This window comes from Homo sapiens, chromosome 6 (assembly GCF_000001405.40).
Source record: "Homo sapiens chromosome 6, GRCh38.p14 Primary Assembly".
Classification (NCBI taxonomy): Eukaryota; Metazoa; Chordata; class Mammalia; order Primates; family Hominidae; genus Homo; species Homo sapiens.
In genome coordinates this window covers 65,418,844-65,442,399 of record NC_000006.12, presented here as the reverse complement: position 1 = coordinate 65,442,399, position 23,556 = coordinate 65,418,844, and the positions used below count along the sequence as shown (strand labels likewise).

Sequence of the window (23,556 nt, the reverse complement as noted above, 5' to 3'; positions counted from 1 at the left end):
TAAATAATAAAATTTCTAAGTTCTTAAACTTTAGAATGCATAAGAATATTCAAAATTTAGAATTCTAAGCCCATATAATTCAAACCCAATAATCAAAATCAATAGTCCTGAGGTGAGACCAAGTACTGAATATTGACTATAAGATATAGATATTTAGATAGGAAATAAAGCATCAGGTATTTCAGGAGTCACTAAGAAATGCTGAGCTAGAAATTTTCATATATGAAGAACTCTAATTATTAGAAAAATTATAGTCATATTTTTTAAAGAAGAAAACACAAATAATTCAATGGTCTAAAAGCAACACAATTTAAATAAAATTACTATAAATTCTAACGGGGTGTATGAAGTAAATAAACCAGGCTTTCAGTTACAGTACAGTCATATTTTTGGGAATGAATCATGTCACAAAAAAGAAAAAGATCTCCAGAAGGCCTCTATGAAGAAATGACATTTAGTTTTTCAAGCAAGCAAATTTAACGGCTTCAGATATGACTTTGGCCTTGAACTTCCTGTGTCATTCCTTGATATGTCTGAGCAGGATTTAGAAAATAGTACTTCTGAATGTCCTTGCAAAGGTCAATTCATTTCTCTGGTTCTCAGTGTCCTCCTCTGAAAGCAGGAGAATTTGAAGTAGATATATATTTAGTCCCTTCAAGTTCTACAGTTCTGTGTTTTTAGGTTGACTTTGCTTACTTTACCTATTTTGTAGGTTGACTTTGCTTACTTTACCTATTTCCTTAGCACATTTAAATGGTGCTAAGGAAAAGTTCCTGTGTTCCTCAGAATATTTTCCACTGTAATTATATTAACATAATCTTTTTGATGCACAGTTTTGATCTGCAACCGTCTGTCAACACATAGAACAGCTGAAAGACCTAACTGTTTAGTGAATTTTTTATAAGTCCTGGAAAGATTTTGTCATTCCATATCAGAGGAGTCATGATTTCTAAAATACAATTCTTTCATAATGCATTTTCAAATAAGAGTTTTAGAAAATGGGAAAATCTGTTCATGAACATTCGTAAATAGAACAGATCTAAAACTAACACATATAGTGTCAAAATATAGTGCAAAAATATTAAAAAGTAAAAGTTCTTAAAAATATAAATATTGAGATGATACAAAATATAAAAATTTAAATCCTGAAGAGACATAATGTGCAATGAGTGAATTTCATAAAATTTAGTATTATGCTATGTTGATATTAAACATTGAAAATAAATACTAATAAAAATGGTTTGTAGCAAAAAATATTATCAGCAAAATACACACATTTCTTATTGCTCCATGATTCACAAAACATGACAAATCAAGTCATTAATGAGTTTAATTAATTAATCTTATTATTTTTCTGAAGCATATATTTAGTTCCTATGATGTGCCAAACACACACACAGTTTAATATATATAGATATATATATACACTGTTTAAATATATATATTTATATACATATACAGACACTGTTTTTTATATATATACTGTTTATATATATATTATACATAAACATATATAATATAAATATATAATATAAATCTATATATATATATATACACATATTTTTTTTCTACACAAAGGAATTAAGTCAGGTTACTAAAACTGTATTCCTGGTGAAGCAGACATTAATATAAATTAATGTTATTAGCCATATCAAAAAAATTTCTCAACGATACTATATGCTACATCCCAAACACCTTCCAGTGTAGAAGTATATGGTGTGAGTACAAAAAAAATTAGCTTTACATGGTCAGCTTTATGAGGATGTTTATGGAGGAAATGTGGGGAAGACTCATTAAAGACAAGCAAAAATTACTTGTGAGCAGTAAAGTAAAAGATATCACCAGCTTGCACGTCCTATTAATATGTTTCTCAAACTCTATTCTCTGGGATTTTTTTCTTGATATTATAATGGGTCTTCCAAATGAGGAAAATTTTCATTTTCATAAAATTTAGAAAATGTATTAAATTAAAGTCAAGGGGGTTTTTGGTTTTGTTTTTGGGGTTTTAATTTTTTTTTTTTTATTGAAGGTTGTTTATAAACTAACATGCATTGTAAGTTTTCAAGACAGTTTCAAGTAGACATATGGTATTGAATCTATCAAATGTTTCTCACTCCTGTTCATCTTGGAACTATTTATGCATAGAAGGCCCTGTCCAGTGAGCATTGTTTACGTATCACTGGTATAGAGTAAAATGCATGCTTGAACAATTGCTTAAAAAGCCACTGCAACTTTAACTTCACCTTTATTTTAAGCTCATCTGTATTTATCCATTTGTTCCATTGACTTTCACAATTATGTGATTTATCCTTTTTGAATCACTTAATTTTTTCTCTGAAAACTCTATGCACTAAAACAGCTGTTTAACCTTTCCAATGCTGTTTTATTTGTCTGAAACACCTCCTCCTCCTAGTCTGCTTGACAAGCACTTATTTGCCCTCCACTGTCACCTTTTATCTTTGGTTTCATCTGGCCATTATGAACTGTTCACTCATTTGTCTTTTATCAGCTGCTGTTTAAAGATAGATCCATTACAGTACTTTTCATGTTATAGTTTTATGTCTATGAATGTTTGTTGAGTTTAATTAAATTGAAATACAGGAATGAGAACTGGGCATGATTGGGGTTGAAATTGTGAGGACACACATAAGAGCAAATGTCCTTAACCTGATAAGCAACTTCAGCAAAGTCTCAGGATACAAAATCAATGTGCAAAAGTCATAAGCATTCTTATACACCAATAACAGAAAAACAGAGAGCCAAATCATGAGTGAACTCCCATTCACAATTGCTTCAAAGAGAATAAAATACCTAGGAATCCAACTTACAAGGGATGTGGAGGACCTCTTCAAGGAGAACTACAAACCAGTGCTCAACGAAATAAAAGAGGACACAAACAAATGGAAGAACATTCCATGCTCATGGATAGGACGAATCAATATCATGAAAAATGGCCATGCTGCCCAAGGTAATTTAAAGACTCAATACCATCCCCATCAAGCTACCAATGAGTTTCTCCACAGAATTGGAAAAAAACTACTTTAAAGTTCATATGGAACCAAAAAAGAGCCTGCATTGCCAAGTCAATCCTAAGCCAAAAGAACAAAGCTGGAGATATCACTCTACCTGACTATACTGCAAGGCTACAGTAACCAAAACAGCTTGGTACTGTTACCAAAACAGAGATATAGACCAATGGAACAGAACACAGCCCTCAGAAATAATACCACACATCTACAACCATCTGAATTTGACAAACCTGACAAAAACAAGAAATGGGAAAATGATTCCCTATTTAATAAATGGTGCAGGGAAAACTGGCTAGCCATATGTGGAAAGCTGAAACTGGATCCCTTCCTTACACCTTATACAAAAATTAATTCAAGATGGATTAAAGACTTAAATGTTAGACCTAAAACCATAAAAACCCTAGAAGAAAACCTAGGCAGTACCATTCAGGACATAGGCATGGACAAGGACTTCATGTCTAAATCACCAAAAGCAATGGTAACAAAAGCCAAAATTGACAAATGGGATCTAATTAAACTAAAGAGCTTCTGCACAGCAAAAGAAACTACCATCAGAGTGAACAGGCAACCTAGAAAATGGGAGAAAATTTTTGCAATCTACTCATCTGACAAAGGGCTAATATCCAGAATCTACAAAGAACTGAAACAAACTTACAAGAAAAAAACAACCCCATCAAAAAGTGGGCAAAGGATATGAACAGACACTTCTCAAAAGAAAACATTTATGCAGCCAACAGACACATGAAAAAAATGCTCATCATCACTGGCCATCAGAGAAATGCAAATCAAAACCACAATGAGATAGCATCTCACACCAGTTAGAATGGCGATCATTAAAAAGTCAGGAAACAACAGGTGCTAGAGAGGATGTGGAGAAATAGGAACACTTTTACACTGTTGGTGGGACTGTAAACTAGTTCAACCATTGTAGAAGACAGTATGGCGATTCCTCAAGGATCTAGAATTAGAAATACCATTTGACCCAGCCATCCCGTTACTGGGTATATACCCAAAGGATTATAAATCATGCTGCTATAAAGACACATGCACACGTATGTTTATTGCAGCACTATTCACAATAGCAAAGACTTGGAACCAACCCAAATGTCCATCAATGATAGACTGGATTAAGAAAATGTGGCACATATACACCATGGAATACTATGCAGCCATAAGAAAGGATGAGTTCATGTCCTTTGTAGGGACATGGATGAAGCTGGAAACCATCATTCTCAGCAAACTATTGCAAAGACAAAAAACCAAACACTACATGTTCTCACTCGTAGGTGGGAATTGAACAATAAGAACACTTGGACACAGGGCAGGGAACATCACACACTGAGGCCTGTCGTGGGGTGGGGGGAGGGGAGAGGGATAGCATTAGGAGATATACCTAATGTAAATGATGAGTTAATGGGTGCAGCACACCAACATGGCACATGTTTACATATGTAACAAACCTGCACGTTGTGCATATGTACCCTAGAACTTAAAGTATAATTGAAAAAAAGAAAAACTGAAATAAAACCCAAAATATGAATGTTTAAATTTGGAGGTGTTTGAAAGTGACAAAAAGCATAATGCCAGAGACTGTTTTATCAAACGTTTGCATAAAGGAGATATCAAAATCTCTAAGCCATTATAATAGGAATAAAAATGAATCTTCCCCACTTGAAAATATTTTTGTAACAGTTTTGGATGCCAAGTTTCTTAAAGAAGATTCTTCTATACAGTTCTTAAAGAAGCATACATGAAGTACTCTTTAAAATTTTAAGTTATATTAACATGTCCATATGTTATTATGTGGGTAAAGTAAGTTCTGTACTTAAATATCATATGGTAACCAATCTAAATTAGTATCTTTATTTTCTCAATTTCCCATTATAATTGTGGCGATAACAATGAAAGAAACTGATTTCCATGAAAAAACTGCATACTGAAGAAATCCCAAAATTCCCTTTTTCTTTCTATATTTCAACTATCATCTAAGAGTTAATGTTCATGCATGAATTTGCAAGTATCCTAATAGAAAACAGCTTTTAATCTCATGTTACCATTAAAAAACACTAATATATGTTTTTCTCTCTTTAATCCTGTAATTAATTTTTGACACTGAGCACACCCATAACTGCAGTTGTTAGGATATTGCTTTATTATTTTGAAATAAATTTCACATTATGAGCCATTTTAGTAAAACAGCAGAGTTGCATAAATTCAGTGGAATCATCTGCAACATTTTCTGTAGTATAAAGAAAAAGAGAAACATAATAAATTAAGTTTTCCTTTTATATACAGACTTTCTATTCTGCTACCAATCAGCCAGCTTACACCAAAATACTATACTTTATTACTTACTGTAGATTTCTAATTTTTACTTTACATACCTGTTAAAACCTGCTTTCCCTTTATGCTTGCTACAGAATTGTCTTGGCCATTCTTGACTCCGTTTTTGTGTATTAAGTTGTAAGTTTTGATTAGAAATTTCCTGAATTTGTAAATTATTTTTGGGAGAATGGTTTCTTTAAATAAAATATTAAAATTTCAACCATTCTTTATATCTATTCAGATATTTTTTATTTCAAGAAAGATTTATAATTATCTTCATACATATCTTGAACATCTTTTCTAATTATTTATTGAAGGTATATAGGACATTTATCTATTTTGTATATTGATATTTTCTCAGCAATCTAGATGAATACTTTTTCTGAAAGATTGTCACTATGTTGATTTACAATATAGAACAGGGTTCTCAACCATTTGCAGCAGAATACTGCTGTGTCACAAATGGTTTACAAGTGAGGGAAGATATTGATCTGGTTCCTTTAGCAATTTCTGTGTTTCCCCTGAAATGAAAAATGCTGGGAAGCACTGAATAGACAATCAAAACATCATTTTTTTTTCTTCTTTTTTCTTCTTGTCACATTGCTCTGGCCGAGTCCTTTCATATGGCTTTGAATAGATGTGCTGATTGCAGTCTACCTTCTCTTGCTTCTCATTTTCAAATAAAACATTTGTAATGTTTCACCCTTAAAAATGATGAAAAAAATAATGTCTGTTGTTGGTTGTTAGTAAGTAGCCATTGTCAGATTTAGAGATTTCCCTTTCATTCCAAATGCTCTGGCATTTAATCTTCAAAAGTATGTGGAATTTTATTAAATATTTATTCCAGCATCCAAAAAGATGAGCCATGATTTTGTCTCATTCCATCTGCTAATATGGCCAATTACATTGATAGTTTTCTTTGCTATTAGACTTTTCTTCTACTTTTGGTTATATGTATTTTAAAATAAAATGCTCTGTTTAGTGTTATATTGATTTGTTAGGACAATCGTAAAAAAAAGGGCCATGTACTGGATGGCTTAAAAACTAAAATTTAATATTTTCACATTTCCGGAGACTAGAAGTTAGAGATTAAAGTGTCAGCAGGGTTGTTTCTTCATAGGCCTCTCTGTTTTCGGCTTTTAAATGGCCATCTTGTGTCCTCACATGGTCTTCCCTCTGTGCCTCTATGTCCTAATCTCCTTTACTTATAAGGACACTAATCATATTGGATTAGGGCCCACCCACATGTCCTCATTTACCTTAATTATATCATTAAAGGCCCTATGTAAAAATACAGTTACTTTCTGAATTATTGGGGTGGGGGCTGGGACTTCACCAAATGAATTTTGACAAGGACACAATTCAGTCCTTAGTAAGTGTGAAAATATTTCTATTAAGGTTTTTTTCATTTAGAGATAATTGTAGATTCACATGCACTTGTAGAAAATAATAAAGGAGGATTCCATGGGCCCTTCACCCAGTTAAAATTGTTAACTTTAAAGTTAACAATTTAATCTCTCTCTTTTTACTTAGTAATTCCATAAGAGACTGTAAACATGCTTACATAATCATTTCCTTTTAAGTTTTTGTGATAATCAGCCCATAAAAAGACATCTATTGTTAAATAATATGTATTTGTATTCATATATATAAAACAAAATTTTATTAGAAAATTTGTGAAAATAGAACTACTAAATAGCAAATCATAACATGTGAACTGTTATAATCTTTGACTTACAGAAATTCCTTTAAGTCTCATAAAGGCTTTATCATCATAAATAATTAATATTACATTGATACTTTCATCTACTGTCCCACAAGGTCAACATTTAATTATATAGGTAACATTTTAAACATGTTGTTTTTTGAGGTTATTTTATAACTCTGTAACCAATTAATGAAACCCAATAGGTACAGTAATTTGTCTTTCAATTTTTTTTCTTAAATCAGATAGAAAATATCTTATTTAACATAAAATCTGGTGACTTTAGATGTGTGATATTAATTTACTCATCTATTAATTATTTAATATACTAACCCAGTAATAATGCAAAATACAAGCTATGCAGAATACTAGTCCTTCTGTCCCCAAGAGCCTATGTATAATAAATATTAAGAATACTAGGAATAGTAGAGATAATTAGATAATAAAGGTACGAAAAGAAAGAGATATTTAATTGAAATGAGACAAACAGGTCTTCACAGAGAAGTAGCAGTATAAATTAAGCCTTAAAATATTAATACATTTTCATATTAAGGGAACATTTTAGATATAAAGAGTAGCATATGTCAATGTTTCTAGCATTAAATGCATCTTTCAGGAGAAGAAGTATGATGAGAGATTTTAGGCGCTATGCAGCCTCTCATAGATGAAACATTTAAGTTGAAGTGACAATTTTAAAATTTTCCTTATTTAAAAATTTTTGTGGCCGGGCGCGGTGGCTCATGCCTGTAATCTCAACACTTTGGAGGCCAAGGCGGGCCGATCACAAGGTGAGGAGATCGAAACCGTCCTGGCTAACATGGTGAAACCCCGTCTCTGCTAAAAATACAAAAATTTAGCTGGGCGTGGTGGCGGGCGCCTGTAGTCCCAGCTACTCGGGAGGCTGAGGCAGGAGAATGGCGTGAACGTGGGAGGCAGAGCTTGCAGTGAGCCGAGATTGCACCACTGCACTCCAGCCTGGGCAACAGAGCGAGACTCCGTCTCAAAAAAAAAAAAAAAATTATGCAAACCTAGGAAAATGTCCCTGATATAACCTGTTGTTGTTGTTTTAATATTGCCTCTTCCTTCTGCAAAATTTTATGTCACAATACTTGGTGCTTCTCTTCATCTCTGGATAATGACTTACGTCTTCAACAAGGTCCACATTCTTAGCAAAGCTTAGTTCTTGAGGGCTCTCAGCACTATGCTGCACTATTCACTCCTCCACATTGCTCTCCAATCACTCTGCCTTTTTAAAATGTTCACTGAAGATCAGGGAAAATAAAAAATGGTTTATCTGGGATGATTATGAGGTCAGCTGTATTTCTGTTGAAAGTGTGATGCTTAGGAAGAGCTGTGACTGATGTGGTAGGAAATAGAGGTCTTTGTCATTCTTTAAGCCACAGAAGTGATTTGAAGAAGAGGTATATTTCATATTTCAAATCTCATTCTCAAATTAAACCCAAACATGGCATTTCAACTTGTTAATTTTTCCTCTGGGCCAAAAGAAAGATTAAAAGTAAATGAAATTAATTAAAGAGCCAAATCGTGATCAAGTAAAATAAAAAGTAAGTGCATATTCAAATGTTAAAGTCATTACTTGGTTCATTCTAGTACCATTTTTATTAACAAATAATCTTATAAAGCTATCAAATTATTAACAACTCCCGAAATATTTCTATTTTGCCTTCTGAATAACGTACTAAATCTGTCCCTAAGAGTCTGTAGGCTGACCCCAAATTTTAAATGTTTCACAGCCACTAAACTTGGCTGGGTGTTATTACTTTCATCTCTCATATAATGAGTTTAGACATGATTTAATTATTTCCATGATTAATCTCAAACATTCTCTTAATCACAAATTTAAAGCACTGAAAAGAGATGACCATGAAAATATAATCTTGTTGAAGCATTCTGTTTTTTTTAAATCATGTACCCTGGTGAGTCCCACAAAATGTTAAGACCCGGAATGAATGGAGTCCATCAGGTCATGTTCCAATGCCTCCAATTGCAGATGAAGTGACTGACATTCTAGAAGAGCTAGTGATTGTCATAAAATTGATCCTTCCTTGCCCTTTAAAGTACCGTCTTCACTTGGACTCCAGGACACTACATATTGGCTTCCATGTCTTTGCTATCTTCATTTCCTTTGTATTCTTGTCTAGTTTTATATATTTAAAAACAATCCATAACCTGAAAAGGCTCAATAGACTTTTCCTATGGACTCCATAGTTTTGTATCTAACTGCCCACTTGATGTGTTTCCTTAATGGTACCTATTATATATTGATGTATCTTAAATTCAACACTGTAACTTAATTGCACAAAACAAACACGTGATATCCACCCCCTCCCATTCCTCCCTTAATTACCAGTCTATCTTCCCAGTTGGCCAAGGTTAAAAAACAAACAAAAACCTTGCAGTCTTTTTTTTTCTTGACTTCTCCTTTCTCTTACATTCTTACTTAATCCCTCAGAAAAGTTTGTTGCTCTTACCTACAAAATACATTTAAAATCTGACCACTTCTCACCCATTTCATTGCTGCCATGTCAGTGTCAGCTTCTGCCTTTTACCTCCAACAGCAGGGAGAACAATTCTGCTCAAATGTGGGTCAGAGCATGTCAGTTTGCTAAATCCCCTTCTGTGTAGAAGCTTTTATATCACTAAGAAGAGGAGCCTTCAAAATGCCCTATAAGGACCTAAATTGTCTGACCTCCTTTCCTTTTGGACCTGGTCTCCCACTCTCCCACGTCTGTACTCCTCTCATTCTTTCACAGTCATCTTGGGCTCCTTCTTGTTCTGCAAAGTTAGGCATTTCCTTACCACATTATTTAAAAATGAACCCTATACCCATACCTGAGCAACCCCACCCTCTTTTGTTTCATTTTTTTCGTAATACTCGTCTGCATCTAAATTATTATAAATTATAATGGTTATTACATAATCATAGGTTTTGTGTGTACGTATGTACCTATGTATGTACTTATTTTTCTGTGTTCTCCCACCAGAATTTAAGTTCAAGGAGGTGATATATGGTTATCTGTTTTGTTCATTATTTTATCTCCAGTCCCTAGAAAAGCATCTGACACAATAATTTTATGTTTCATATAAATAATTAACTTCCAAAAACCCTATTTATAAAACAGCTATTGCAATCCTGACTTATGAAAAGATTAATCTTTACCCTTACTCTGAAAATACAGCAACAATCCTCTAATGTTCTATCTACAAATATGAGTAATATTTATCTTACTTTTATGGATCATAAGATTTTAATTAACTGGGTTTAGAGAATGCCATTATTATTGGATATTTTCTTGGTTTCCAGAAGGAATCTAGTGAGGAATTGTTTTTGGTATTCTAAATTATTTTTAAAATGTACAATAACAACCTCCCACCAGAGATAGTTGCTCAACATTGTCAAATACAAGCCTTGTGAAAGATTTATATTTGATCTTCAAAAATTCAGAAATGTTCAAAGAATGATGAATTGCATTTAATTTTGTTATTTATTCATGAGTTTAATGTTAAAATAAACATTATAACTAAAATTACTAGCTCACATTTTAAAACTTAGTTTGATTTTATTCTTCATTTTCATTATGAAAATTACGGAAATTTAGAGATAATGTGACACAGATATTACCTAATAAAATTGATTTTAGAACAGCCGGTGATCATGAATATAATTTGAGCAATTTTTTCCAACACATAATATTTCCACCTAATAATGTTACTGTCATATATAATGAACAAATATTTATGATAAATAATGTAGTGTTTTCAACATATTTAAAGAAGGAAAGCTCCCCAGAAGAGAGAATAGTAAATTACAAATAATATATTATTTATTTTATTGTCATAAATATTATATACATATTAGTTGACTTCCTGGGATCTGGTAGTATCCACCAAAGGAAAAAAGCTGAATAGAAGACAACTATCTTCAGAACAGAATAAGGAGGAATACCAGCAATTAAAGTGAAAGTGAAGTATGTGACAAAGAGACACTGACACAAAGGGCATTGAGAAGTACCAACCCAAGATACAGGATGGTGATATTAAGGAGTAAAGGAAAAGGTGTTTCTCAAAAGGAGGTTATGACCCACACTTTAAATGCTGCTTTGCTGACAGGTCAATTAACAAAAATGGTGAAAGAGTTCACAACGGATTCTGAAGTAAGATGGTTGTTAGTGATCTTGTCCACAATCTGGAGTGGTGGTAGAAAAGGCAAATTGAAAGTAGTAGTGTAGAAGATTCTTAAGTGCCCACTTGGTGCTCTGCCTGACTGTGGCAGTACTCGTATCTAAAGTGTAAGACAAAGTTCCCTCTTCTTTTTCCTCTGCTTTCCTCAAGAAGGATGTTTTTCCCCCATGGCCACCAAGGTTGGTAATGTGCTGCATCTCACCTGAGGACAGCAAGTCTCAGAGGCTCACCCAAGGCCCTCCACATAGCACCTGGGTATTACTGCTGGTTTTTCAGGACGCAAGGGCTCTTCAGTTAGCAGGTAATGAATGCTGCCAGGACTGGATCCTTTCCTGCAAGTCAGCAGGTTCCTTTCTGGCCCAGGATGTGCCTAGAAATGCCATCTGGCAGCTAGGGCCTGGAACAGGGGCCTCATGACTCTGACCAGTGTCCTATCCTGTGGCTGATCAAGATCAAAGATGCAAGATAAAGTCCTCCCCACTCTTTTCTCTCCTCTGCTCAAGCAGAAGGAAAGGGTTAGGGTTAGCCTGGGTCTAGGGGAGGGGTAATGCCAGCATTCCCTTAGCTGCCCCAGCTGGTGTCTTTGTATGTCACGTTCCCCACAAGTCAACTGTATCAGCTTAGTTCAGTGCTAGGACTTGCCTATGAGTTGCAGTCCCTATGGCCTAGAAACTTATGCCTTATGCCTTTCAAGTTTACTCAGAGACCGGCATTTTGGACCTCAGTGTGAGGTTTGTGGGCACTCAAGTCAGGACTGCTGGGATTAGTGGTTCACCTCTGGCTAGGGTTGTTTAAATGCTCCATTTGTGGGCAGGTGTCAGATGAGTTCGGTGTTCGGTCTGGTTTTTCTTTCTGCTCTAACAGAACAGCACTGAGTTCAGTGCTTCTTTCAGTGATATGAAGTTAAAAAAGGATACTATGAGTGCTCACCTGATTTTGGTTATTGTGACGTGTTTTTCCTTTGTAGATAGTTGTTAACTTTGTGTCCCTGAAGAGGGGGGAAGATTGATGGAGCCTTCTATTCTGCCATCTTGCTCTACCTCTCAACCCCTGGTTCAGACACAAGAGTTTATCATTTGTAGCAGTGTGAATTTGAGCAAATTACTCATCTTTCCTATGCTTCACTAATCTGTAATGGGAATAATAATGCTACTATCTGATAGGTTATTATGAGGATTAAAACAGCTATCCATGTAAAGGTATTGGAACACTGCTTGGCGTAGTAAACTAAAAGTATTACTAAAAGTATTATTATAAAACATTGACTATTATTGTCATTACAATAATTAAAAGTATCTCTTCTCTATCAAGTGTTATTTTCTTCATTTATTTTCCAAGACATTTTCATTAGCCTGAAATTATTTGTGTATCTGTTTTTGGAAACTCATCATAAATAAGAAAAAAAAAATCATTCTCAATGTTTCTCCATAGATAATACATTTTATTCTCTTTTGCTTGTTTTATTGTATAGTCAAGTCCCAATATCACTTTGTTTATAGTGTGTAATCTGGAGGGTTGGTGTTACCAACATAAATTAGCAAATTGGGTTTGGAACCAATGAAGTAAGGATATTAGAGTGTGCTTGATACTACTGTATACGGACAATGAAGCCACTATGGTAGGGCTCAGATATTAGTATTTAGCTTTCTCTTTAGCTATAAGGCTATAAGAAATGAAGCTGTTAGTATTTAGCTTCATTTCTTTGCCTGCTGGAAAATGAATTGAATAACTCTGCCTCACTGTTTTGTTTTGTTTTGGTTTCAATTTTTTATATCCAAGTGGAAGAATCCCAGAGGCTGGAAGAGTAAGCGGCTTTATAATACGTTTGAGGATTAGTGATTATTAAAGGGAGATTCCACATAGTATATTTCTAGTTGCACACCATGCACTGGCCCCTGGTAATTTCTCTTCCAGTTAACTGTTGCTACAAGTGTTGTGCCAGAACATTTTTTTTTTTTTTGAGATGATTTTGCTCTTGTTGCCCAGGCAGTAGTGTAATGGTGCATCTCCACTCACTACAACCCCCGCCTCCTGGGTTCAAGCAATTCTTCTGCCTCAGCCTCCCGAGTAGCTGGGATTTCAGGCATGTGCCACCATGCCCGGCTAATTTTGTATTTTTAGTAGAGAGTGTTTCTCCATGTTTGTCAGGCTGGTCTCGAACTCCCGACCTCAGGTGATCTGCCTGCCTCGGCCTCCCAAAGTGCCAGGATTATAGGCATGAGCCACCACGCCCGGCTCAGAACATCTTTTATTTATAGGCCACAATTTCATATTGGTGCCTCATGTGGGGGATTTATTAGCAATGAAGCACAGTGTTTCTTTGATGCATTTGACAGTTTTTGATAGTTTTACTGCAATTTGATCCAACTTACATTATATTTAAAAAAAATTCCTCAGTGATTTTCAGTTCCCAATATGATGTAAGATTATCTATATTTTGTATTATTTTATTGAAGACCTGAGGGCATGGGTGGAGTTTAAGGGAAGGAGAATTTTATGCGTCGAAGTGGTCAGTCCATTATCTTGTCTGTTAATGGCTTGAGAAGAAGGAGAATCAAAAAACAGCATAGATTTGGCATACAATTCCAGCTTGGATAGTTACTTAACCTCAATATTGCTAAAAAAAAAAATGAGTTTAATGACAGTGACTATTTCATAGAAAAATATGTGATATTTAAATGAGTTAATATACGTAAAAATGAATAGCAATGATTGGCACATAATTAGCGCAATACAAGTGTTTGATGTAATTATTATGAAATTTAATGACTACTTAGCCTTTTATCATTTCAATGTATTTATTTAACCATTCTATGTATATATTCACTTTTTAACATTGCTTTTATTAAAAAATACTGTCATATAAATCTAGATCTTTGAGTATATATTTGTATTTTAGAATAAATTTTCAGACATAGAATAACTGGGTCAATGTTCAAAATAATGAACATAAGCATACTAAGAAATTCCCTTTGAGAATTGATGAGCAAGTTTGTAATTCCATTATTGCTGTATAAAAGAGGCCATTGTACATCACTCTCACCAGCAGTAGTTGATATCATTCCAAAAATTAAAAAAATATTTGCTAAGTTGAACATCAAATTTCACTTATTATGTATAACGTGTTAATATTTTAAATTTACATTTTATTACTAATAAAATGAAATTTTCTTTATTTGTACTTTCATACCATAGAATGTATCATGTATACTTTTGTAATTATATATCATGTTCTTGATATCATCTATATGTGGAAGCATCCTAAATATATAATTTTGAATCTCCTGCTTTCTCTCCTTAGTATGTCATGAATTATATCCTGAATATAATAAATCATATATTGCATTTTATACTATTTTGATTATTTCAAATCTGTATGAATTTCTTTTGCAATTTTTATTACAGATGGTGAGTTAATACTGAATGATATAATTCAGCATTCAGTGGGGTACTTCTACACCATAATGGTGCCCCTTTTACTGTTGCATGTCTGCAATTGATGAGAGCATATTTTATGTTGACTCAAATATGCTGCCTATCTTCGAAGTAATTCTTATTCTACCCCTGTAATGAAAAAAATAATTCTATTTTTTATGTACATATTTATTTTTAAAATATGTGTTTATAATTACATTAATAGGCTATTGAAAACACAATTTAAAGAGAAATATTTTATAATATTAACCAAAAATACATATTAACTATGAAACAAATCTAACATGAGATAGTCAATGCATATCTGTATTTTGAAAAATTTAAACGTGTAAATGCATTGAGGGAAATAGCATATTCATGCACAAGGAGACTCTTCATCATCTCAATTAATTTTCAACTTGATCTATAATTTTAATTAATATTCCAAAAGAATTTTCCAAGAAATGTGCTAAAATGATTACAAAATTTGAATGGAAGGCCAAAGAATAACTATGATGCTCCTGAAGAAAAAGTGAAGTGAAATCCCCTGGCAGATATCAAGACTACTTATGAAGGTGGAACTAGAGTAAGGGTTACCCTACACCATTTAAAGAAAAAGCTTCAGGGGGCTAAACTTTACAAATTTTATTTAAGGTTATAATAGAGAAGACTATGGCTTCGCTATGGGAAATATTTCCTTAAAAACATACAGATATACAACACACACATTCCAAAATTAAACCTAAAAGAAAATATTTATGTATTTAACTACATTAATATTAAGAACTTCTAATAATTAAAAATCCATAAAGTTTAAATCAAGCCACAACATTTCCATGTATGTAAACAAAAGATTCATTTTTAGATGTTACATATTTAGTCATGTAAATTACTAAATTAAGGTTTATAACTTATTAACATCTGTTGAAACTCCTAAAACAAAATTTTTACATTACAATATGTATTGTAAATTCCTTGCCTATGATTAAAAAGGAAAATAGTGTAGAAGGGTATATAGTAAAAGAAAAGTCTCACAACCCTACGATTTATTCATCATATTATCTCTGTTCTTCCTAATTAGCTTTTATAAAATCAGCTTTGATAGACAAAAAGAACAGGGCAATTTAAAAAGTGGAGGTGATTCAGCAGGCAACTTTATTTAGGAAAACATGCTCCAAAGAATATAGGATCAGAAAATTAATCTGCTTAGGTCTAGCAGACATTTTACCACATTGCCTCTTATCCAAAGTGGGACAATCTCATTCATTCAGTGTTTTTTTAGACATTAAAGATAATAATAAAATATATTTATTTATGTATATCCATACATCAGAGCCACTAAATGCAAGGTTACCCCTGTATTTTATTTAGTAGCCAACAACAGGTGGAGAGCAATTTGTTTCAGCACAGGAAATGAAAAGTTAATAATAATAAAATAGAATTTTGGCTATCTGTAGTGGCTTATGCCTTAAGTAATCTCATCACTTTAGGAGGCCAAGGTAGGATCCCTTGAGGCCGTAAGTTTGAAACCAGCCTAAGCAACGTAGCAAGAACCCACCTCCAAAAAATACAAAAATAAAAATCAGCTGGGTGAGGTGGCATACACCTCTAGTCTTAGATACTTTTGAGGATGAGGCTGTGGGATCACTTAGCCCAGGAGTTTGAGGCTGCAGTGGGCTATGATTGTGCCACTACACTCTAGCTTATGGGACAGAGTGAGACCCTCTTTCTAAAACTTAAAATGGAATTCTTCTGTTTGACTTATTAAGAAGTCTTTGTTCTGTAGTCTTCAGTTTGGTTACATGCACTTGAGTTTGGTGGATAAATACAGCTGAAAAACACCTAAAATTTCTGCCATCACTTCTAGAGAGAAAAAATTCGTCATCATAAAGCCATAAAGTGCTCCAATACCTGCTGAGATGACCAGTTAAATCCAGGAAGAGACTTTGGCAAAGATGAAAATGCTTTAAAAGACTGGTCCCTCGCCATGAACTATAAACACTTGTCCATCAAAGCCAAAATTTTATGAGTAATAAAAGGATTCTTAGCCTCTGCTCACTGTTTAAATTTCTAATGGAAGGATAACCTCATAAGAAGAAGTCAAATCCAACCAAGTTTAACATAAATGCTTTAGACATTGTTTTCACCTCTAAAACACATAGATATTATTGAAGTTAATCTTGTTTTATAAAGCAAGATAGCCTCCCCAACAATTATGAAAAGCAAAAACAATTAAATTACCTACTCAGCCTCTTTGCAATCTGAGTCTATTGATTCTTTAGCTTTCCTCAATATGTGAGTAATTTAATGGTACCATTTTAATATGCTCTAAAAACATAAAGAAAACAAGTGTATATGGAAGCCACAGTCTTGAACCAGAAAACACATTTCCAAATTTTACTTGTTTTGCACGTTTACTATATCTATTTAAAATTGACTATATTAATTCTCTTCATGATCATGGAGAACACATCTAGAGACAGATTAGTTTGTAATTCAAGTATTTTAATGTACCCTTTACCATCATTATTCATATACAAAAATAATATTTTCCTTCCCTGTTGAAAGAATAACTAACCACAATATTCAACATTACCTTTGTAATCAAATATACATTTATACAGCTAAAGGCTTTTCAGCTGACCAAGATAGTTGGTCAAAGGAGCGCTTTGGTACTGAATTGCACATATAATTATATTAGCCATTCAATTTTTATTCATTATAAATGTCTGCAATAACACCCTTAGACACAGAGACACCAAACAAGAAAAACAATCTCTAGCTTCATTTATTATTTGCCTTCCCGGAGTAAATTTCATTTGGGCAGAAAATATAGAGTAATAGTTCATATGCACTTGAGGTTGGAATGCAGAGAAAATCTCCCTGCTTTTTATTAATAATAGCTTCTAGGTTTGAGGGTTATTGAAGGCATACTATTTCTTCCATCTTCAGACAGAGGTGAGAGATCCATTAACCGGTACATGCCTCAGTTAATGTAACACACATCATCTGGATACCAGAATATTTAAATATTTCTGAGGTAGCAGCAAAATACCAAAGCATTTATAAACTTAGGATACCTACTCTCAAAACCTCACTTCTTAAAAATATAATTGTGTACTGATTGGTAAAATGAGTTAGATTTGATGTAATATAAAACAGATGCCTTTCATTAAACATGGAAAATCTGTAATATATTTTCAAGCACAAGAGGATGAATGCATTTATTTAATACTGTGTATTAAAAATAGGTTTCAATGGCCGTGAAAGGAAGAGAGAAAGGAAGTAACAAAGGAAGCATTATTTCCAAAGCCACAAAGTGAAGGACATAGGATAAATATTCATTTTCCATAAAGTATTTTTGTGGAGAGTAAGACTAAAGAAAATAATAAGATAATTCACAGACCATCAGAAAAATCTTAAGAGCAAGGTTATATGAGGAAAAGAAAGAAAAAAATAGAAATAAAATTGCTAGGGAACATAATGAAAGGGAGATTATGGATTGTTAATCTTCTGGCAACTTAGTAAGAAGGACAGTGCACCCTACCAAGAAAGAAGCAAGTAAAACTTCGAATGTATAGAAAAATGTTGGCAGTCTTTGGCTGAGTTAATGATGAAGGAGGCTGCCAGGACACAAATTTCACGTTAAATTCATTACACCTTAGAAACCTGGAAGGAAGGTGTTCCCAAGAAAGCTAGGATTAAAGTTAGACTTTGAAATAGGGGGCTAAAGGCAAGACACATAGGAACCTAAAAGAGAAATTGACAACTGAAAGGAATTGAAAAGTCAATGGATGGGATTTATTTATTCAACAAATATAATTAAATAAACACTCTCAGGGATAAAGTAAACCCTAGAGAATGTCACTTATAGCAGGGCAATTAGAAGACTAGACAGAGAGATAAAATATCTTAAGTAAATTTCTCAGGAAAATATTATGAAAGAATAGAAGCGGGCTCCCTGAAGATAATAGTAGGTTTGGGAGGAGAGGGTAACCTAATTATGTGGCCTTGCTTGAGTTGGGCCTAGGGTGAATGTAAAAGTGGGTTAGCTAGGTGACTGTGAGGATGGAGGGAAGTATATTTCAATGGGCATAGCAAAAGCCAGAGGTTTATAATGTGTGGTTCTGTATCAGCAGCATCAGAATCACCTGGGAACATGGCAATAAAAATTCTCAATTTATGATACCTAATGTAGACCCGCTGAATCAGAAGTTTTGGAAGCTAGGTCCCAGGATCTGTTCTAAAAAGCTGACCCTGTGATTCTGACATTGGCTAACATTTGACTCCCAGTGACACAAGCAAACAGCTAAAAACACTGAAGAACATCTGCCCATCACACACATTACATTTTAACAAATTACCTGCCTTTTAATTTTATGCATGGTTTAATTACATGTATTTTTAAATTGAATAATTTAACATTTTGAATACAAAATTCTCACAAAGCAAAATCCCACATACATGTGACATAGATCAAGAAATAAAATGTTGCCAGCGTTCTCAGATATTTACTCCTCCCCCTTCTCAGTAAATATGCCCCAACGATAAAAACCAATCTGAATTTTTAAATTTTAGTTTTGTTTTCCCTCATTTAATTTTTATGTGGGTGAGGATTATGCAGTATATTCTCTATTCTCTTTATCCTTTTTCTATTTATAGGATGTTTGTGTGATCATGTTGTGTTTAGTTTTAGCAATTATTTCTATTGTCATGTGCTTTTTGACTGAATGAACATATCAAAATTATATATATGTTATAATGATGATGGACAGAATTTAGGTAATTTTAAGTTTGGAGTTATTATGAATGATGCTACCATAAGCTTTCTTGCACTTGTCTGTTGTTCCTTTGTAGGATGTACACATAAACATACATATATACATATGTGTGTATATATGTATATATATATATGTCTCTCTATATAGAGAGAGGCTTTTTGGTCCTGATTTATGTATTTGTTAAATGTTATTAAATGATAACACATTGTTTCCAAAGTGATTGTTCCAACTTACCCTCCTGTTAGATGTGTAGGATATTTCCTGTTGCTTCATATGAACACATTACTCTGTGGGTCACAGATGTTTATTTCAGCCACTCTGGCAATTAGGTAGCAGCAGTTTTTTTGTTTAATTTTATGTTTATTGATGATATAAAAGCTTTGCATGTTTATTGGGCATTTGCATTTTTTCTATGTGAAGTGTATTTTTCTTATTAAATTTCTTTCCTATTGAGTATGAATGTAACTTACTATATTCACAGATTTTCTAAAATTTTCAGTATTAAAGTGGATCCAATTTGGTTCTGTTTATTGCTACATGTCAATACTAATAAAATGTAATTGCTCATATTTCTTTTAAGATTCTTCCAACTTTAGTCAGTCATGGGACTAGAATTAAATATGGTACATTGTAAGTATTTGTATCAAGTTACAATAACTTCTTGAGATTAGATTGGAAGCTTTATTTATTTTCCATGCTCTAAAAATGTGCTACTCAGTATAGAACCACAAGCCATGTGGCTATTGAGCACTTGAAATTTAGTTATTTCAAAGTTAAATATGCTATAAGCATAAAATACAGACATACATTGTTTTCTTGTGCCTTGCTGTAATGTGCTTCACAGATACTTCAATTTCTACAAATTGAAAGTTTGTGGCAATCCTGAGTCAAGCCGATCTATCAGCACCAGTTTTTCTAACACCATGTGCTCACTTTGTGTCTCTGTCACCTTTTGGTAATTCTCACAATATTTCAAACTTTTTTATTGTTATATCTACATGGGGCTCTGTGATCATTGATCTTTGATGTTACTATTGTAATTGCTTTGGAACACCACCAACTGCATCGATATAATACGGAAAACTTAGTAGATAAATGTCGTGTGGTTCTGATTGCTTCCAACTGACCGTTCTGCTTTCTCTCCCCCTCTTCTCATGTCTCCACAGTCCCTGAAACACAACAATATTGAAATTAGACCAATTAATAGCCCTACAATGGCCTCTAAGTGTTTCAGTGAAAGGAAAAGTCACACATCTCTCAATTCAAATGAGACATGTATGTTTGTAGAAAGAAGCTTAATGAGGAAATCATGTGGAAAGCTCAGATAGCCCAGAAGCTAGGCCTTGTGCTCCTAACAGTTAGCCAAGTTGTGAATGCAAAGGAACAATTCTTGAAGGAAATTAAGAGTGCTACTATAGTAAGTACATGAAAGTTAAGAAACCTAAAGAGCCTTATTGTTGATATGAAGAAAATGTTAGTGGTCTGAATAGAAGACCAAACCAGCCACAACATTTCCTCAAGCCAAAACCTAATCCAGAGCAAGACTCTAGCTCTCTTCAATCTATAAAGGCTGAGAGAGGTGAGGAAGGTATAGAAGAAAAGTTTGAATCTAGCAGAGATAGACTCATGAAATTTATGGAAAAAAGCTACTTCCATAACATAATAGTGCAATGTGAAGCAGGAATTCCTGATCTAGCTAAGATTATTGATGAAGGTTGTTATACCAAACAACATATTTTCAATGTGAAAAAAAAACAGCCTAGTATCAGAAGATAGTGCCACCTAGGACTTTCACAGCTAGAGAGGAAAAGTCAATGCTGACTTTAAACCTTCAAAGAACAGACTGCTTCTCTTGCTAGGGGTTAATGCAGCTGGTGAATTTTAGTTGAAGCCAATGCTCATCTTCCATTCCAAAAATCCTAGGTTCCTTAAGAAAGATGCTAAATTTACTCTGCCTGCCCTCTAGAAATGGATGAACAAAGTCTGAATGACCACACACCTGTTTACAGCATAGTTTAGTGAATATTTTAAGCCCACCATTGTGACCTGCTGCTCAGGAAAAAAAAAATATTCCTTTCAAGATATTACTGCTCAGTGACAATGCAACTGATCACCCAAGAGATCTGATGGAGTTATACAAGGAGATAAATATTGTTTTCATAACTGCTAACATGGCATCCCTTTTGTAGCCCACCAATAAAAGAATATTTTTACTTTCAAGTCTTTTTATTTAAGAAATGCTTTTTGTAAGGCTATAGCTTCCATAGACAGTGATTCCTCTGATGGATCTAAGCAAAGTCAATTGAAAGCTTTCTGGAAAGAATTCACCATTCTAGATGCCATTAAGAATATTTGTGATTCATTAGAGGAGATCAAAATGTCAACAATAACAGGAATTTGGAGGTAGTAATTCCAACCTTCATGGGTGACTTTGAGTGGTTTAAAACAACAGTAGAAGAAGCAACTGCAAATGTAGTGGAAATAGCAAGAACACTAGAATGAAAAGTGGAGCCTAAAGAGGTGAATGAATTGCTGCCATTTCGTGATACAACTTTAATGGATGAAGATTGTTTCTTACGAATGAGCAAAGAAAGTGGTTTCTTCAAATATAATCTACTCCTGGTGAGGATGCTGTGAACATTGTTGAAGTTACAACAAAAGATTTAGAATATTACATAAATTTGGTTGGTAAAACCAAGTGCAGGGTTTGCGAGGACCAACTTTAATTCTGAAAAAAGTTCTATTGTGGGCAAAATGCTCTCAAATGGCATTGCATGCTACAGAGAAATATTTCATGAAATGAAAGCTTGTTGTCTTATTTTAAGAAATTATCACAGCTTCTCCAATCTTTAGCAACCACCACCCTGATCCATCAGTGACCATGAACATTGAGGAAAGAATTCCATCAGCAAAAATATTAGGATTTGCTGAAAGCATGGATGATTGTTAGCATTTTCTGGCAATAGAGTATTTGCAAATTAAGGCATGTACATTGTTTTCCTCAGATATGAAGTTATTGCACACTTAATAGATTATAATATAGTGTAAACATAACTTTCATATGCATTGGGAAGCCAAAACATTTGTGTGACTTGCTTCAGATTGATATTGACTTTATTGTAGTGATCTGGAAACCTACCTGCAATAGCTCCAGGATATGCCTGTATGCACTTTACCACTTTGGTTTTCAAAAACTTAGTATAAACAAAATTTAAAATATAATGTTAATAATGTTTTATATTGATAATGTGTTATGATAATTTTATTTTGGATATATTGAGGTACATTACATATTATTAAAATGAATATTACTTGCTTTATTTTTTAAAATGTGATGACTAGAAAATTTAAAATCGCATGTGAAATATTCTGTTTCTCTTGAATGGAGCTGTTCTAGAACATAATGAACAAAATTGTACAGATTACACAGGTTTTAAAGAATCAAAATTTAGGCTCAATGTGTTTTTGGAGGTTAATTCTCTGATTTTTTTTTGATAAATTATATTTTGTTATTGGTGTTTTCAACCACTATAAATTTATTTGTGTGAATTTTTGTACATGTTTAGATTGCAATTCTACTAGAACAGAATTGTTAATCATTCTCTTGTATTTTCAGTCTTTTAAAACACATATAATCAAATTATAAAATTTCTATTTTAATATTCTTAATGAGGTGTAGATATGTTCTCTCACTTTTTAAATAAGAACTACTAAAGGACTGATTGCTTTATTTGTTTTTTAAAGCCTCGTGTTTGGGTTTATACATCCGTAAGTTATACATTTATATTTTATTCACCTTCCAATAGCTCTGCTCCTGAAAAAAAAATGACTGCCTTATTTTTCAACTTTTCTTTTGAATATTAACTCTTCATATACCTGGTTTATTTTCTCATTCTCCCAGAGAAATGACTAAATCTGCATGGTATTAGGGGTTGAGGTGCTTTCAGCCAGAGATTAGGCAAGCCCCTGATCAAAGCTTTAAGGCTTTGATGAAACATGAAAATAAAATTAGATGTAGAGAGGCTTCACTGTCCAACCACAATTGGAGGTTCGCTTATTGTGGCTTGAGACCATACTTTTAGTATTCATGACAGATTTT

General features: G+C 33.4%; 1 protein-coding gene across 4 annotated transcripts in view, besides 3 other annotated features; it reads left to right on the top strand.

Annotated features, from left to right (window-relative positions):
- The window catches only part of EYS (eyes shut homolog), a 1,987,247-nt gene that overhangs the window by 264,827 nt on the left and 1,698,864 nt on the right, over positions 1 to 23,556 (top strand). The gene's annotated exons all lie outside the window — the stretch shown is intronic.
- Positions 5 to 174: an enhancer, noted in NCBI's record as "experimental_92636 CRE fragment used in MPRA reporter constructs". NCBI's record gives its function as "activates a minimal promoter by MPRAs in K562 erythroleukemia cells, with activity observed for both the introgressed and non-introgressed 6:66152204 variant alleles {active_cell/tissue: K562}" and the evidence as "EXISTENCE:reporter gene assay evidence [ECO:0000049][PMID:34662402]".
- Positions 276 to 445: an enhancer, noted in NCBI's record as "experimental_92629 CRE fragment used in MPRA reporter constructs". NCBI's record gives its function as "activates a minimal promoter by MPRAs in K562 erythroleukemia cells, with activity observed for both the introgressed and non-introgressed 6:66151933 variant alleles {active_cell/tissue: K562}" and the evidence as "EXISTENCE:reporter gene assay evidence [ECO:0000049][PMID:34662402]".
- Positions 17,399 to 17,568: an enhancer, noted in NCBI's record as "experimental_92593 CRE fragment used in MPRA reporter constructs". NCBI's record gives its function as "activates a minimal promoter by MPRAs in K562 erythroleukemia cells, with activity observed for both the introgressed and non-introgressed 6:66134810 variant alleles {active_cell/tissue: K562}" and the evidence as "EXISTENCE:reporter gene assay evidence [ECO:0000049][PMID:34662402]".